The sequence below is a fragment of the Homo sapiens genome, chromosome 10 (assembly GCF_000001405.40).
Source record: "Homo sapiens chromosome 10, GRCh38.p14 Primary Assembly".
Lineage (NCBI taxonomy): Eukaryota > Metazoa > Chordata > Mammalia > Primates > Hominidae > Homo > Homo sapiens.
Genome location: NC_000010.11, coordinates 16,584,968 through 16,601,819, shown reverse-complemented (window position 1 = coordinate 16,601,819; position 16,852 = coordinate 16,584,968). Strand labels below are relative to the sequence as shown.

Here is a 16,852-nt window from a genome sequence, read left to right as displayed (position 1 = left end):
TCCATCTTTCCTGCACTCTGCCCTGCCTGCCTCAAGCCCAGCCTTACCTTGCACACGCCTGTTAGTGCAGAAAGAGAGGACATTAGGCGAGCCAGATTCCCCAGCCACATGCGCTGTGGCTGCTCCATGCCAGGTGCCAGGCTAGGTACCCCATCCAGGGGCCAGAGGTTGCTGTTTTTCATCCATGCACCAGGAAGAGTTCAGACATCCTGTGTAGGACACACTGGGAAGGGAAGTCACCTGCATCGGGAAAACCAAGAAGGGAACCATTATAATATTTGAATGGCCATGTGACATGGGCCTGATTAAAGAAGAAAAAAGGAGTGGATGATGGAAATAAATGAGGTACCATAAAACAGCTAATTAATGAGTTATGGGCCCTTTGAGGAGCTGATGAAAACTGTGGTCCCTTTCTGCCGAAATATACATATACAACTTTACTTAGAGTTTCAGACACTTCTAGGGTCCTAGGCTAAGAACTTCTACTGTAGAGGAAACTAAATTCCTATCAGACCTGATTAATATGGTGACCAAAAACAAAAAGAGGAGAATGTCAAAATAACTTAGCATTTGCTCCTGAAGTTCTGGAGACATGGAGGGACAGACCTGTGGAAGGTGGGGTGAGGGACTCTTCCCTGCCTTTTGGGGATTCATAGCCAAAGTGTCCCAGTGGGCTGATGAGGACTTGGAGAGCAGCTGCTCGGAGACAATCATTAAAGTTATAAAATTAGATGGAAAGAAGACACAAAGACAGACAGGACCAAAGAGGTGTCCAGAGAGAAAACAAGAACCAGGATGACATCCTAGAGCCAAGCGAGGACATTTTTAAGAATGAATGGCTCCGCGGGGTGGGGTCTTCCTTGCTGCTGCAGCAAAGGGATATGAGACCCTTGGATCTGACATAAGACTCAATTTTTCCAAAAATAAAGATGCCCATATTAAATAAAATCCACCTATCAGCCAGGCGCTGTGGGTTACACCTGTGATCCCAGCACTTTGGGAGTGTGAGGTGAGAGGATTGCTTGAACCCCAGAGTTTGAAACCAGCCTAGCAACATAGTGAGACCCCATCTCTACAATAAGATTTTAAAATAAGCTGGGCATGGTGATCTGCACCTGTAGCCCCAGCTACTTGGGAGGCTGAGGCAGGAGGATCGCTTGAGCACAGCGGTCAATGCTGCAGTGAGCTGTGATCATGCCACTGCATTCCTGGGTGACAGAGCAAGACCCTGTCTCAAAAACCACCCCCCCCTAAAAAAAAAAAAACACGTGTCAGTAATAGAAAATCATGCATAATATATCTGCTTAATCAAAAAAAAAGTTGCAAAATTTATTCTGAGTACAGTGGACTGGAATTTTTTGCTGTGCAATCTTAGCTGTCCAGGCGGTAGTGGTCAGTTGCACGGAGCTTGAAGCGGCCTGTCTGCAGGCTGTTTTAACAGCACGTCACCGAAGTCACCAGCCTGCCAACCCAGGCAGTCTCCAGGATCATTTCCCCATGATCCTTCTAGAAGTGGGCTTCAGCAGGGGTTCCTGGGGTGGCAGCTCAGGGCAGCGCCCACTCCCACGTTGGCATTTGGGCTTCACAGTGAGATCAAGAGCCCTTGTGAGCCTAGCAGACTGGTTCACTCATCTCCCACCACTGAGAGCGTCGCAGGCATCTCATCTTTGAAACCATCTTCAGTGACAGAAGCCTGTTCATCAGACTCTCAAGAGCAACTGATCCTCTTGTGTCACTTCAGAGTGCGGTTTCTCGTTTTTTTCCCACTTCTTAATCATCTCCCAATTCTCCTCTCCAAATCCCGGCTATCAGGGGAGAGATGCTCTAGGGTTCCATGTCAAAGGGTTTCCTCCAGTTCCTGGGCTAAGCATTTTACCCACCAGCCACTGCAGCCCCATGGGTGACCTTGGGCCAGGCTCCCTTTATCACTCTCCAGCTGTCATAGCCGAGTGGCAGTGCCCGCCGAAGCTTTCCCAGAAAGATCTACACCAAAGGCACAGGCTGGCAGTGCAGATTCCGGGCAGCACGAGGGCATGGCAGCAGCCTGCAAGAGGTGGAAGGAGTTGGCCCTGGTAGCCTGCGTCAGAGAAGCTTCCTAAGAGGTTAGAAGCGGCAGCTGTCATTCTGAAATGCCTACTGTGTGCCCAAGGGACAAGAGCGTTTCCCTAATTTAATCTTCTCCCAAGCTCTCCATGGTAGCTGGGAATCTTCATCTTCCTCTTGCATATGGAGACATCAGACTGTGGGAGGTGAGGGAGGTTCCCCAGGGCACACATCGTTCAGGGCTGAGTAGGGTGTCGAAGGCAGAGGTGGCTGTGAGTCCCAGAGACTGTTCTCCAGGAATCCCTGGTGCAGGATGTGGTGGGCTCCTGTAGGGCCAGACAGGTACCACATGAGCAGAGAGCTGCAGTGGCCCTGAGGGCACATGCTGTCTAGGAGGGGACAGTGGTGCCCGGGTTTGAGGGATGGTTGGCGTTTCCCAGGTGAAGGAGATGGAGAAGCTTTGTTCACCAAGGCCCTGGGGGAAAAGTACAAGTTACAAGAGGTCAGGACAAAAGTTTTTTGCCAATCCTGGCACTTCCCCGCATGGCCCTGCATGGTATGCCACACTCTTTCCTCTCAGGAACTGCAAGGAATAGGTTGTCTTTCAATGGCACTGACTGTTCTGTCCTCTGTAGTCAGTCACTGCTATAAATTCAATCCAGGTACATGCAAAACACAAGCCACGAGTGTTAGCTTCAGAGGATGGTGGGACAGGGACCAGCCAGTTCGTAGTAGCAAGGGGACAGTTTGCAAAGCTGTTTGCACTTCCTCTCGTAGAAACAACACCCATTTTTCCTTTGGGACACACCTTGCCTCTCTGCGTCTTGGTTCTTTCATTTTTCCATCTTTTTAATTTATCCCAGAAACTCATTTTCCCTATTGAAATTAAGCAGAATCCTCACGGACAGGCCACCCTGTCAGGCCCAGAGAGGCTCACCTACTATGTTAGTTCTCTATTGCTCTAACACATTACCAAGAACTTAGTAGTTGAAAACAAAACGAATGTATTACCTGACAGTTCTGGAGGTCAGAAGTCTGAAACCAGTGTTGCTAGGTTGCCTCTTGCAGGAGATTCTAGGGAAGAGCATTTCCTTGCTTTTCTGGCTTACACAGACCACCTGTGTTCCTTGGTTCATAGCCCCTTTCCCCATCTTCAGAGACTGCAGTGTAACATCTTCAAATCTCTTTCACTTTGACCCCCTGCCTGTTTTTATTTTTGATTGATTGTTAAGGTCTTGCCCTATGGCCAGGCTGGAATGCAGTGGTGTGATCACGGCTCACTGCAGCCTCAAACTCCCAGGCTCAAGCGATCCTCCCAATGCAGCCTCCCAAGTAAGTAGCTGGGACTACAGGTGTGCTCCACCACACCTGGCTAATTTTTTTTTTTTTACTTTACTTTTTGTAGAGATAGGGTCTCCCTGTATGGCCCAGGCTGGTCGTGAACGCCTGGCCTCAAGCAATCCTCCCGCCTTGGCCTCCTGAAGTGCTGGGATTACAGATGTGTACCCCTGCAGCTGGTCCCTCCTGCTGCTTTCTTATAAGGACCCTTTTGATGACACTGAGCCCACGGGATCATCCAGGATTCTCTTCCCAGCTCAAGGTTCTTAACTAAGTCATGCCTGCAGAGTCCCCACTGCCATGGAAAATAACAGTCACAGGTTTCAGGGATCAGATGTGGCCATCTTTGGGAGCTGTGATTCTGTCTACCACACTTACTTGCCCAGTTGAGGCCCCGTGGCTCGTAACTGGCAGAGCCAGGAATGGAACACCAGACTTTGGAGCTTGTTGTGACTGCACCGCCACTGCCATAGCCACATCCCTGTGAAAACGGCCACTTATGGCCGCTTAGTAAAACGCCAGCTCTCATCTGCCCACACAGCTGGAGGAGTTAAAGGATCGTGCGGCGGACAGCAGCGTCATCCAGCCCTGCCGATGACTCACTGAGGAAGTGGGCCATGCATTTAGCTCTGTCTTAGTTGCTTTCTTCAAAAAGGATTAAAACCTTTGTTCCAGAGGTGTTTGGGGATTTAGTGTTGATAGAAAATACCCTGTTATTTTGCAGGGGAAACAGCCCTAAAGAAGGAAGGTAATCATATAATTATCTTGATTTAATCACTCTTGACTGTAACTCCATGTCTGTCCTACTTTTCAATAAGCATTCGCTGACTGCTTCCAGTAGGTTTGCCATGGTGCTGGGCTTACCGAAACACCCTGCAAGGAAGACAAACGACATCTCTAGCTTACAGATAAAGAAACTGAGGCACGGAGAGGGAGGCAAACATTGCTGATCATTTGCCCAGAGTCATCAGCTAATAAACGTCAAAAGCAGGATTTGAGCAGCAAGTTCAGGGCCACTGGCTCCCACCTGGCCCTTTGTAGTGACTTGTTCTGCAGCCCCAGGATGTTCAGACACACACAGTGGGATCTGAATATAAAAAGGCAGAGACTGAAACAGTGGAACATTCCAGTTCGCTCCGAAAAAGGAGAAGAGCCCTGCAGCTTTTGCAACCCCTTCTGAAATCGCTTGCCTGGATCCCCATCGTCAGGGCCAAGCTGAACACCCACCTCAGCCCTTCCCGCATTCAACACTTGACTCGAAGCAGGGCCTTGTCAATTCCTCTCAATTCCTACTGCTCCTCTCCCTCTGCTGACCTCTTATCATTGCCAAGACTCTTTCCTTACACTCGGGTATTGCTAGGTTTCCATGGGCATGAACAGTGGAGTCATCTTTCTGTCAACTTTTAGAATCCTTACAGTTTGGAGGCCAGGTGCGTGGCTCACGCCTGTAATCCCAGCCTTTCCAAGGTGGGTGGATCGTTTGAGGTCAGGAGTTTGAGACCAGCATGTCCAACGTGGCGAAACCCCCTCTCTACTAAAAATACAAAAATTAGGCAGGCATGGTGGTACACACTTGTAATTCCAGCTACTTGGGAGACTGAGGCACGAGAATCACTTGAACTCGGGAGGCAGAAGCTGCAGTGAACTGAGATACTGCCACTGCACTCCAGCCTGGGTGACAGAGCAAGACTCCATCTGAAAAAATAATAATAATAATCCTTAAAGTTTGAAACTATCTTTGAATAAAAATGTACATACGTATTTTTTTGCTCTGTGCGGATAAGGGGTTTGGGAAACAGAGGAAAGATCTCTGAGGCTGGAAGGAAGCTGTGTGTGTAGCTGAAGCTACCTAGGCCGTAGGTGCCTGTGTGAAGACACAGAGTCAGACCCTTGCTTCCTGCCAGGTGAGGGGAGCTTGGAGACCTGATGCCTCCAGGGTTTATTACTCTGCAGTGCTAAGCCCTTGAGCATTGAGTCAGTGGCCCTGAGTAGATCAACATCTGAGGACAAGGGCAGGTGCTGTTAGAGGAGTACGCATGTTTCGGAGCTTGGAGGATGAGGAATAGAATGGAGGGATCTACTTTGAGCATTTCCTCTGCCTATCTGTTGTGTCTGGGAGAGATGCCGAGGAGGAGGAACACGGGTTGAGTCCACATGGCTAATGCAGGGTGGTCCTTAACTTCGACACCTGCAGAGCCCCTTTTGTCATGTAAGGTAACATACTCCCAGGTTTCAGGACTTGAACACAGGTATCTTTGGAAATTGGGGGCAGCAACAGAGACAAGGTTGGACCCGCTGAACTTTACTCCCTATCTAAACCAGTGGTCTCCCACCTGGGACACAGGACCCAGGACCCCCAGGTGCCCATGGCCTCGTCTTCAGGGGGACCCGTGACCCTTTTAAAAGTGTAGGTTGGGGGAGCCCCTATAGGTTGAAAAATGCGCTTTCATGGAGCAGATTTTTTTTTTTCTGAGACAGAGTCTCACTCTGTTGCCAGGCTGGAGTGCAGTGGTGTGATCTTAGCTCACTGCACCCTCTGCCTCCCAGGTTCAAGTAATTCTGCTGCCTCAGCCTCCTGAGTAGCTGGGACTACAGGCATGCACCACTATGCGCAGCTAATTTTTTCTTTTTTTTAGTAGAGATGGGGTTTCACCATGTTGGCCAGGATGGTCTCCATCTCTTGACCTCGTGATCTGCCTGCCTTACCCTCCCGAAGTTCAGATTCTCTTAAGGAGTTGTTTCTTCTTCTGTGGCTTCAGAGGAGGCACAGCCGGGCTGGTCAGGACAGGGCTACTGTCTCCATTACACAAGCAAAAAGGCCTCCAAACTAATTCCTAGAGATGTGGAAAGCCAATTTGCAGGCTCTTATGTTCTCTGTCTAGGACATATGGAAACTTCTTGATGCAAAAGAATGGCCTCCCCTTTTCCTGGAGTGCAATCCCAGCACCTGGCTGGATGTGCACGCTCCGGCTCGTAGGTCTGTCTCTGGCCAGCTCTGAACCCTGTGTTCTACACTCCGTGAGAGTGACCGCCGATGGAACCTGCTTGTACCGCCTCCAAGGCAACACTTGGAAGACTGGAATAGTTAGAATACAGTATGGCCTTTCAAAACCATAGTGTCCAGCTTTCCTGGATCACAAAATCAACTGGGCAGTTCCATCTGCCAGCCCTTCCCCTCTGCCTGTCAGCCATGGTGGAGATGTCATCAAGAACACTAGTATTGGACGCCAGGCACAGTGGCTCATCCCTGTAATCCCACTTTGGGAGGCCAAGGCAGGAGGATTGCTTGGGGCCAGGAGTGTAACACCAGCCTGGGCAACCTAGTGAGACCCCATGTCTATTAAAATAATTTTTTTGTTGGGGCATGGTGGCTCACGCCTGAATCTCAGCACTTTGGGAGGCCAAGGTGGGTGGATCACTGGAAGTCAAGAGTTCAAGACCAGCCTGGCCAACATGGTGAAACCCCATTGCTACTAAAAATATGAAATTAGCTGGGCATGGTGGTGCATGCCTGTAAGCCCAGTTACTCAGGAGGCTGAGGCAGGAGAATTGCTTGAACCTGGGAGGCAGAGGTTGCAGTGAGCCAAGATCACACCACTGCACTCCAGCCTGGGCAACACAATAGGACTCCATCTCAAAAAAAAAAAAATATATATATATATGATATATAATAGATAATATAGTATATTTTATATGATATATATGATATATTATCTATATGTATCATATATTATCTATGATACATATAATATACAGATAATATATGATATAGATAATATATGATATATATCATATATATCATATTATCTATCATATATATCATATAATAGATATTATATATGATATATATATTTTTTTTAATTAGCTAGGCATGGTGGCATATATCTGTAGTCCAGCTACTCAGGAGGCTGAGCCATGAGATCGCTTGAGCCCAGGAGTTTGAGGCTGCAGTGAGCTATGATCATACACTGCCCTCCAGCCTGGGGAGCAGAGTGACAGAGTGAGACACTCAGGAAAAAAAAAAAAATGCCGGACGCCAGTATATGCTAAACAGCCCAAGATGCCAGCATCCAGAGAGTGTGCATATTCCTTGTGTGGATGCTGGAGCTGGGCCACCTGGTACAGGGACGTCAGGCTCTGTGCCAACCCTCATTCACAGCAACTGCGGGCTGTGGAGCCGGGTATGCCCTTGCTGCAGAGGACCTGAGACACCCACCAGGCTCTCTTGGAGACACAGTTATATCAATAAAAGGAGTTAAGTTTGAGCTGTATTTATTTTAGGGTGGCTTTTAATTTGGTTTAATCAGAATTACTCATAAATTATCGATTAATTACCTTCTGCTGTTCAGTTAAATCCTCTCAGCCACGGAGCCAGCTTCGCTGCGCAATGAATGCCATCCACCGTAATTATAGGGCACTTTGTCAGCATTTAATCAGCGGTACTTATTAATGTGGCATTGATGTGTGGTGGCCAGCCCCACGCTATCCATCATGGGTGAGCAGCCAGCACAGATTTGGACACCATTGCTCTCTGTCCCATTAGCCAGCCCCTGGGCTTTCGGGCCAAGCATCATGCTCGCTTTTCACTAAATGGACACTCTGTCTCTTCCATTCAATCCCATTTTTATCACTGTCGACTTAAACACTCATAAGCTTTTGAACTTCAGTCCAGAACGGCTGAGCAGGGCCTGACCACTTCTCCCAGTGAGTGTGAAATCCCAAGAGACTGGTCCGTGATCGGACATCATGGCATGGCGTGCATGTGTAAGAGAATTTTATATTCAACACAGCGTAGCACCCAGAGAACACAGAAGTGATCTTTTGGTTTTCTTTGGCTTACTGAATATTTTTGGAGATTCTTCTATTCCTGAAAGCTCTTCCAGTGAAAGCTATCTTGTGTTGGCAAAATAGATCTGATAGTGTCCTTTCTCTGTCTTTGCAGCCTCTACGGCAGACACATGCAGGCCAACCCAGAACCACCGAAGAAGAATAATGACAAATCGAAAAAGATCAGCCGGAAACCCCTGGCAGCCAAGAACAGATAAGGAAGGGATTGGCATCGGCTGGCCTTCCAGCACCTTCTCTCTCCAACACTTCATTCTCTCTTGCCCTGTCTCTCAAATAAACCCAATGCTGCGTGTGAGGCCTTTTTTATTTTTCTTTTCACTCTCTTTCTAATGCTTCCCACCTTACCTTTTAGATTCTTTTGCTAGGTGGGAGATTGTTATAAGGTCTTTAAACCATTTCCATTTGTTTCTTTAACATTACCAAAAGCAGGGAACAAAGCTCTTATTCAACTGCGAATTCCATAGTGGGCTCTGGCTTTTCTTGAATAGATATCACAAGGTTGCTTATTATCAAAAGAATAATTAAAATCATGTAACCATTTAAATGTCACTGTTAACACTTTTCACTCTTTCTGTTGATTCACCTAACTCATTATTTTGCTTTATTAAAAGTCTTCCTTCACCACCGAGATATGCTAATTTAACTTACAAATGATTTTAATAAAATCTTGAGTTTGTATCACATGTTACTTATTGACTCAGAATAAAAGAACAGTCTGATCTTGGGGTATAACACATTTTCATTTACTTTTCTCCCCCAAAATCATCTTATCCAATTTTATTGGTTATACATGATAAACTTTTCATGAAAGAAATGCAAAATTAAATCACAGTTCGTTTCTTCTCACATTAATTTGTCAAGTTTTTTTTTTCTTTGAAGACTTTCTAAATTAGGAAGCAGAAAAACAAATCTCTAGGAGATTCTGCCAAAGGATTTTGGAAAGTAGCATTCCTTCGCCGAAGAAATGGTGATTTCTGCCAGGGGCTGGTAGACAAGAACTGTGAAAGAGAGAGAGAAAAAACCTCAACTGTGTATTTTGTCACGGCGGAAAATCTGCTCGCATCGAAGCATTCTTCTAAGCGACTTCGATGCCAAGGAAGTTGTGTAAATGTGCACGCGCTACACCACACCCAGGGTGGAAACCACAGTTGCAGAGTCATTAAACAATCAATTGTTTGTTTAACATCTGTGATAGGCAGCTTTCCTTCTTTTCAACAGTGATACCTACGAAAATCAAAATAAATGCAAGCTGAGGTTTTGTGCTCACTGAAAGGGCTGTCAACCCCAGAAGGCCGACACAAAAAAAATGGTATGTGAAGATGCACCGTCTTTTCAAATGGCCTGGGAGAGTCAAATGGCCTGGGAGAGGGGGCCTGCCCTTCTCTGCTGTGTCCTTTCGGCTTCCCAGTTGAGCTCCCAAGACCAGGACCCACTGGGGCATATAAAATCTCTGCTGTATCCTTTCGGCTTCCCAGTTGAGCTCCCAAGACCAGGACCCACTGGGGCATATAAAAAAGTCAAAAATCAAAATCAAACAACAAGTTCTGAGTTACTTAGGAAACAGACTTCGCATTTCAATCAGAGAGGCCACAGAGCAAGGTCTAAACTTCTGGCTTCTAGACAAATTCCTGATAGAACATTTAAATGTGGGAAGTGGCTTCCCCAGGTCCCATCCCCTGTTTAGGGATAGAGTTGATATCATTTTTATAGGTGCCATGTATGCCTCTGCCTGAATTTTTTTAATTGACTTTTGAGCTTTTGAGATTGCACGAGGGAGAACAAGGCCTTTGCTGTTGTGGATAGGAAAGACTTAACCTAAAATTAAACCAGCAAGAAAGCATTAGTAAAAATCTAACAATATGAAGGGCTCTTATGAGTCATTTTTTTCAAAAGATGAAAACTCCAGAAACGCACAGGAACGAAATACCTCCCAGAAACATGAAGCAATCATCGAAGACTCACTGGTAATATTTTTAAAAAGTATACAGATCAAAGCAAAAAGAAGCCATGTGTAACAAAGAGAAATGTGCAAATATTTTTTAAGGCAGTATTAAGTGCAAGAGGAGTAACATGAAATAAACATTCTTTCACATGGCTACTGGGAATATAAATTTCGCTCCAGAAAGGCCGTAGCAGTTTGACGATAGGTGGCAAAACCTTAAGATTGTGTACTGGGGCCCAGAATTTTTATTTCTAGGAATGTATCCTGAGGAAATTATCCGAGATCCCCACAAACTGCAATGTTTAGGAATTGTCCTTATAGCATTGCATACACAAGAAAAACAGAGAAAAGCCTGATCCCTGTCAGTGGAAAAGGGGTTCAATGAATTACGGTGTGTCTGCATGAGGCTTTTATGACATTAAAAATTGTTGAACAACGGCCAGGCACAGTGGCTCATGCCTGTAATCCTAACACTTTGGGAGGCCAAGGTGGGAAGATTGCCTGAGCTCAGGAGTTTGAGACCAGCCTGGGCAACACGGTGAAACCCCGTCTCTACTAAAATACAAAAAATTAGCCGGGCGTCGCAGCATGCGCCTGTAGTCCCAGCTGCTCAGGAGGCTGAGGCAGGAGAATTGATTGAACCCGGGAGGCAGAGGTTGCACTGAGCTGAGATTAAGCCACCGCACTCCAGCCTGGGCGACAGAGCAAGATTCCGTTCCCAAGAAAAAAAAATTGTTCAACAATAAGGGCAAAGGGAGAGAATCATAACATCTGATTAAACAGAAAAAGCAAGATTTTTAAAACTAACTATATAAGGATGGTCCCAGCTGTGTCAAAAGGAAGCTTGTTTGTAATACGTGTGCATAAAAATTAAATAGAGGTGAACACAATTATTTTAAGGCAGTTAAATTATCTCTGTATTGTGAACTAAGACTTTCTAGAATTTTACTTATTCATTCTGTACTTAAATTTTTTCTAATGAACACATATACTTTTGTAATCAGAAAATATTAAATGCATGTATTTTTCAAAATCAAATTGGTATGTCATGGTATATTATGCAATCCAGGAAATATATATTTAAGCTCAAGGCATAATATAAAATGTCAGGAGGGTTTTTTCTCTTTTTGTTACCAAAATGGATTTCACGTCTTTTCCTACAGTTTTTAGTTACTTGATATCTGGATCAGCAAACAAAATATCCAAAGTTTGAAAGGTGGCCTTTTTTTTTTTTGAGACGGAGTCTCTCTCTGTCACCTAGGCTGAAATGCAATAGCGTGATCTCAGCCTACTGCCACCTCCGCCTCCCGGGTTCAAGCGATTCTCCTGTCTCAGCCTCCCGAGTAGCTGGGATTCCGGCACCCGCCACCACGCCCAATTAATTTTTGTATTTTTAGTAGAGACGGGGTTTCACCATGTTGGCCAGGCTGGTCTCGAACTCCTGGCCTCAGGTGATCCATCTGCCCGCCTCGTCCTCCAAAAGTGCTGAAATTACAGGCATGAGCCACTGCGCCCGGCTGAAAGGTGGCCTTTTCACAAAGATAACCTAACCTTTTTAGCCCAATGATGAAATTAGCTGGCCCCCCCACCCCGCCTTTGATGCCTTGCAGTCTGGTCTTCCAAGTGCTAAGAGCCCACATGGGAAGCCGTGCATATTTTTTTATTCCTCATTCGAAACTTCTTCCACAGGGTTTCTCCCCTTTATGTAAAACACTGTCCTTGCCCACGTGGCTAGGTAGCTTAGAGATGTTATGCAAAATACTTTCATACACATAATCACATGGTTTGTGCAAGAGCCTTGTGGGATAGGTAAGGCAGGTTATTTGAGAATAAACTGTATAATGGTTCTCAGATCTAGGAGAGAAGTGTTTCTCTTTATTTGCTGGAGGTGATATAATGTTTATTAGGAGCCTTTTTTTTTTTTTTTTCAATTAAGGTAGGAGCAAGTAGAAAAAGTGGATGGGCCATTTGGCCACAGAACCACTTCTCTAAGCTTTGTACCGCCCTTATAATCTGTGGAAGCCACGTTAGGAAATACTCTGTGGGACAAAGCGACAGGCCCCCAGTCACATCAGGTTCACCCTTTGGAATAGAAGTGACTTGTACACCACTCTGCAGAAGTGAATCTTCACTTTGATAAACTTAAATGTAGAAGAGAAAATCCTGTGACTGCAGAGAACTGGGTTGTCCCAATCATTGTGTCCATATTCACTGAAAACACAAGTTGCCCCGTCCATGTTTTTTATCCTGTACTTTTACCTCCTTCTACAGACTCTGCACACAACACTTGTTTGTTGCCTCAGATTGCAAAGTTAAGTCACTAATAGTTCAGTTTCTAATAAAGCTTCGTAGTCATAATATCCCACAAGTACTATGTTAGAAAATCCTCTAGTCTCTACCTGCAAAACATAACATGAACTGAAGACTTTGCACCATCTTCTTCCACACTGGCCCAGGTCACCCTGCCTTCTTGCCTGCTCCACTCTGGTATCCTCTGGTGGGGCTCCTGCTTTTGCTCTTGCACTGAGATCTCCATGCAACAGAGCAAATTTTTATGTGCTGACATCACATCAGGACGCTCTTCTGCCCACTGTCTTCCAGTGAAGTCCCCTTGTGTCTTTCACTCAGAGTGAAAGCCTAGGTTACCAGGGTCTAGGGTCCCCCTACTCCTCCAGGTTCTTCCCCCTTCAAGACTTTTGTGCAGGTGATCCTTTTCTAGAATGTTCTGCCAAATGTATACCTGTAACTCCTTCATCTACTTCAAATCCTGGTTAAACAGTCACTTTCTCAACAGAGCCTCCCCTGATTACCCTGCTTTAAATTTGCAATTTATTTTGTCCGTCACCTGCCTTCCACCCCCAGCGAAGTAGAGGTTCCTCCAGGAAAAGGGTCAGCCAGCTACAGCTCAGAGGCACCCAGAAGCCAAACCTGGCCCACGCCTGTTTTTGTAAATAAAGTTGTGGGAACACAGCCATTCTCATTCACTTAAGGTCTGTGGCTGCTTTTTTCTTTCCTTTTTTTCTTTTTTAATTTTGGAAAGGGAGTCTCCCTCTCTTGCTCAGGCTAGAATGCAGTGACACAATCTCAGCTCACTGCAACCTCCACCTCCAGGATTCAAGTGGTTCTCATGCCTCAGCCTTCCAACTAGCTGGGATTACAGGTGTGCACCATCAGACCGAACTAATTTTTTTTTTTTTTTTTTTTTTTTTTTTTTGAGACGGAGTCTTGCTCTGTCTCCCAGGCTGGAGTGCAGTTTGGCTCACTGCAAGCTCCGCCTCCCGGGTTCACGCCATTCTCCTGCCTCAGCCTCCCGAGTAGCTAGGACTACAGGCACCCGCCACCATGCCTAGCTAATTTTTTGTATTTTTAGTAGAGACGGGGTTTCACCATGTTAGCCAGGATGGTCTCCATCTCCTGACCTCGTGATCCGCCCACCTCTGCCTCCCAAAGTGCTAGGATTACAGGCTTGAGCCACTGCGCCCAGCCTAATTTTTATATTTTTAATAGAGACAGGGTTTTGTCATGTTAGCCAGGCTTGTCTCGAACTCCTGGCCTCAACTGATCCATCTGCCTCAGCCTCCCAAAGTGCGGGGATTACAGGCATGAGCCACCATGCCCAGCCAGTCTGTGGCTATTTTTATGTGACCACAACAGAGCTGACTGGCTGACACAGAGACCTTATGGCTCACAAAGCAAAAGGTTTCTACTATCTGGCCCTTTGCAGAGAAACTTCTGCTGATTATTCTATCAACTGTTACATCCCCAGCACCCAGAATGGTGCCTTGTATACAATAGGGGCTCAATAATTATTTAATTGAATAGACTACAAATTGGATACTTGTGATTTGGATGATATAAAGCTAATATTAAGGTAGAGGGAAGGGAAAAAGTCCTAGACATCCCTTTTATACCTCATCATTCTGGGCTACTTTATCAAAGCTGAATTCTCCTAAGGGAAAAAAAATGTATGGATATTATTACAGGTGAGAATTTATGCAACCCTGTTAAGAGTTCAAACCTTTACCTGGATGTTTGGTTTTCCTTATAATTACACAATTGTTTCATACTTGACCATTTAGCCTTCCTCAAACAACCATCAATTTCTTCAGTAACAAAACCAGAAAGGGCTGGCACCCCAATTTACCTGTATGAACCCAGAAGAAGGGTTCATGTCAAAGCCAAAATCCAAACTGGCCTTGTCAATGTGAGTCAATTCAGATGTTTAGAAGCAGCAGAATTGGCAAGTAAAGTGAAAAGTCTCTGTTCTCTGGACATTTTGTGACCTAAAATTAGACATTAATCATTCCTGTGTGTATCTCTCCATTTATAGTATCATGTGATCCTACCATATATGGTGTGTCCTTATTTTTATAATTGATCTTCCCATCAACAACAGCTTTGGGAGACTCCTGGGCTCTAACATCATGTTTCTGTTAAGACTGCATAAACATTTTGTGTATTACCTCTTTCTTACCATATGCTTATTTTGTACACAATAGAATTTGGTGATTGGCCACTGTTAAATTTCCCTCTTAATCTATTTTCTTTTACTAATAATAGCACTCATTGATTGCAGCCTGTTCATGTATCAGGCACTTTGTTTCCTTTCATTCTCACTCAATGGATATCCTCATCTTGTGGGAAATTTGACCTCAGAGAAATTAAGGAACTTCCCGCAAGAGCCCACAGCTGGCAAGTGGCAGAGGAAGGATGGAAAAGAACATGCATTTGACTGTAGAGCTAATGTCCTTTCCTTAATCCCACATCACACTCTGCTGTCAATCAAGACTCCCTTGGCCTATCCAAAAGGCAGCAATTTTCCTTCCGATGAAGGAAGTTTCTGCTTTTGAGCTCCTTAAGTGTTCATTTTATTAACACATTCAAGTTACTGCATGATGACAGCTTTACCCCATTTCTATAAATGACAGAAACCTTTGGTTTCTGCTGTCTCTGTTCCTCATGCTTGGTCAGGCGACAGCATCTCTCTGATGGTTCAGTGATGGATTGACCAAAGCGGATAAGCCTCACTTCTGAGAATAACTTTGCCCTTTCCCCGTCTCATCCAGAAATTCACTTCCAACACTGTCCTATCAGTGAACTATTTTACTCCAAAGGGGATTCCCTCATATGACCCACCCAAAGAGCAGCGCTTCCTGAAATAGATAGAGAGTGGCTTTGGGTTTCGTTTTGAGGCAGGTTTGGGCTAGCATCATCAGACCACCTGGAGACTTTGTTTTTTAGTCATTCAATCAGAGACTGAGGGCTGGGTGAGGTGGCTCACATCTGTAATCCTAGCACTTTGGGAGACCACGGTGGGAGGATCGCTTGAACTCAGGAGTTAGAGACCAGCGTGCAACATAATGAAACGCTGTCCCTACAAAAAAAATTTTTTAGCCAGATGTGGTGGCACAGGCCTGTGGTCCCAGCTACTCGGGAAGCTGAGGTGGGAGAATCACCTGAGCCTGGAGATGAGAATTGCAGTGAGCTGTGAACTTGCCACCGCACTCCAGCCTGGGTGACATGGTGAGACTCTATCAAGGAAAGGAAAAAGGAAAGGAGAAAGGAAAGGAAAAGAAAGGAAAAAGGTAAAGAAAAAGGAAAAGGAAAAGGAAAACCAGAGAGGAGAGACCGCATCTCATCCATCCTGGTCTCACAGCTAGTGAGTACCTGAAACCTTGGACATTCAAACATTATTGCATGCATGTTCCGTTTCCACTGGAAATTTCTAATGCCCTACTGACATTTTTCCCTAAGCATTTATACTCCCTCTATAAATGGAGAGACCATGTCCTGTGATGGGATATAGGAGTCAGCCAATATCTCTATGTTTTCAGACCCAGGAATTGGGAGTGAATTAAGCAATCAGGGTTGGATACAAATATAGCATTATCAGAAAAGACTTGTAATTAGAATTGCTCATCTCCAGTTACTTATGGTTTGTGTCAGACCCTCCTTAGAATCAACAAGACTTCAGTTACATAGCTGACATACACACAGCTCCCTGGGGTCAAGAATTGTGCTGTCCCCCAACGTCCACCCCAGGAAGCCTCCCAGTGTCTGCATTCAAAGGACCAACTTTATCTGTCTCTGGAGACACAGTCTTCTGTATACATCTACTGCCCAGCACATTCTGATGCTGCCATTTCCAGTGTACAGATGTTGTCAGCAAAACTGACTCCTTCCTGCCCTAGGAAGAAAGCGCTTCCACTCACTAATAGCTGAAAGCAGGGAAAGAAGCACAGTCCATTCATAACTCCCCCAGAGCGCCACCCAAAATAGCCCTGCCACACCAGGTGGACAATCTCACTGTTTGTGTGGGCTGCTGTATTTGTCATTGTGCAATCAGGATTTTAACAAAGAGCCACTTTTTAACTCGCCGTGCACAATGCAGCTGTGAAACCAGTATTTTCATTAAGGAAGGCTGGGTCTGAGATGCAGATCATCAAACCATTTAGCAGCTCCAGTGTGACGTGGAGCTTTGCTGTTGCCGGTTAGGATCAGTAACTGGAAGGATTTGAATGAAAGGCCATAAAGACATGAGGCCAGGCACAATGGCTCATGCCTGTAATTCCAGCACTTTGGAGGCCAAGGTGGGAGGATCTCTTGAGGCCAGGAGTTTGAGACCAGTCTTGGTAACATAGGGAGACACTGTCTCTACAAAAAAATTCTTTTTTTTTTTTT

At 45.5% G+C, this 16,852-nt stretch overlaps 1 protein-coding gene across 3 annotated transcripts in view, besides 5 other annotated features; it reads left to right on the top strand.

Annotated features, from left to right (window-relative positions):
* Nucleotides 1-11,209, top strand: part of RSU1 (Ras suppressor protein 1) — a 226,814-nt gene extending 215,605 nt beyond the window's left edge. For all 3 annotated transcript variants that reach the window (NM_152724.3, NM_012425.4, XM_047425617.1), the window contains one exon: nucleotides 8,324-11,209. In NM_152724.3, the coding sequence (NP_689937.2) occupies nucleotides 8,324-8,426 (103 nt within the window). In that variant the 3' untranslated portion in view covers nucleotides 8,427-11,209. The remainder of the gene's footprint in view (nucleotides 1-8,323) is intronic.
* Nucleotides 3,225-3,800: an enhancer, noted in NCBI's record as "H3K27ac-H3K4me1 hESC enhancer chr10:16640019-16640594 (GRCh37/hg19 assembly coordinates)". NCBI's record gives its function as "activates a minimal SCP1, AML or CMV promoter by ChIP-STARR-seq in naive H9 embryonic stem cells {active_cell/tissue: H9 hESC(naive)}" and the evidence as "EXISTENCE:reporter gene assay evidence [ECO:0000049][PMID:30033119]".
* Nucleotides 3,225-4,711: a biological region, named in NCBI's record as "BRD4-independent group 4 enhancer GRCh37_chr10:16639108-16640307".
* Nucleotides 3,512-4,711: an enhancer, noted in NCBI's record as "BRD4-independent group 4 enhancer chr10:16639108-16640307 (GRCh37/hg19 assembly coordinates)". NCBI's record gives its function as "activates an origin of replication core promoter dependent on BRD2, P300/CBP, MED14 and CDK7 cofactors, and independent of BRD4, by STARR-seq in HCT116 cells {active_cell/tissue: HCT116}" and the evidence as "EXISTENCE:reporter gene assay evidence [ECO:0000049][PMID:35650434]".
* Nucleotides 3,816-4,110: an enhancer, noted in NCBI's record as "tiled region #4915; HepG2 Activating non-DNase unmatched - State 24:Quies, and K562 Activating DNase matched - State 8:EnhW". NCBI's record gives its function as "activates a minimal TATA promoter and a strong SV40 promoter by Sharpr-MPRA in HepG2 and K562 cells {active_cell/tissue: HepG2 | K562}" and the evidence as "EXISTENCE:reporter gene assay evidence [ECO:0000049][PMID:27701403]".
* Nucleotides 15,125-15,364: an enhancer, noted in NCBI's record as "active region_3100". NCBI's record gives its function as "activates an Ori minimal core promoter by ATAC-STARR-seq in GM12878 lymphoblastoid cells {active_cell/tissue: GM12878}" and the evidence as "EXISTENCE:reporter gene assay evidence [ECO:0000049][PMID:35858748]".